Here is a 772-nt window from a genome sequence, read left to right as displayed (position 1 = left end):
AACACGCTCCTCTCCGCAAGCTTTCTTAGTTACAGCAGGTAGCCATGTCTCCTAGTTCTGGCCGCTGCATAGCAGAAGTTGGTTGAGGCTTCGGGAAAGCTATCACTTTCTCGATAAAAAGGTACAAACTCAGCTGCTGTGTCCTTTGTCCTTTGACCTTCTACCCTTCTCCCTGTCTGGAATGCAGACACGATACTGGAGGTAAAACAGTCGTCCTATGTAGCAGGTGCTGTCAGTGCTCTGCCCATTATTCGTTGACAGTCACCATTCTATTTACCACAGGCTTCCTGTTGAAAACTCCTTTTCTCTACCCGAGGCCTTTTGCTAGCTACAGAATCATGCTGAGCCTGTAGAATGCAGTCTGAAAGTGGGGGTTAGTGACCCTGGGAGCAGCCTTTAACTAATGACAGATGGTAGTTGGTGGATAAATATCCCAGCTCTTTGGCCTTGAGGTGGGACAACTGAGGCATGAGCTACATACACCTGGGGCAGAGAGAGCTCCCTGAGGTCCCCAGCGGGACTGAACACTGGTTGCCCACAGCAGTAACCCACTCATTAACACATCCTGTGTAGGCTTTCTTACTTTGCCTGTCTCACTTCCCCATTTCCCTACCTTCCTGGGATCACTTCCCAAATAAACTATTTGCATGTGAATCCGTTTCTCAGGAGCTCCTTCTGGGGGAACCCAAACTAAGACATCTTGTGACCTTGAGGATGAAAGCCACATGCTAAGGATAGAGAGCAGTCTAGAAAGAGCCGAGTCCCTGATGCC

At 49.2% G+C, this 772-nt stretch overlaps 1 annotated feature.

The window, feature by feature from the left end:
- Positions 723 to 772: an enhancer, noted in NCBI's record as "active region_23471". NCBI's record gives its function as "activates an Ori minimal core promoter by ATAC-STARR-seq in GM12878 lymphoblastoid cells {active_cell/tissue: GM12878}" and the evidence as "EXISTENCE:reporter gene assay evidence [ECO:0000049][PMID:35858748]".

The sequence above is a fragment of the Homo sapiens genome, chromosome 5 (genome assembly GCF_000001405.40).
Source record: "Homo sapiens chromosome 5, GRCh38.p14 Primary Assembly".
NCBI lineage: Eukaryota > Metazoa > Chordata > Mammalia > Primates > Hominidae > Homo > Homo sapiens.
This window is presented reverse-complemented; position numbering and strand designations above follow the sequence as displayed.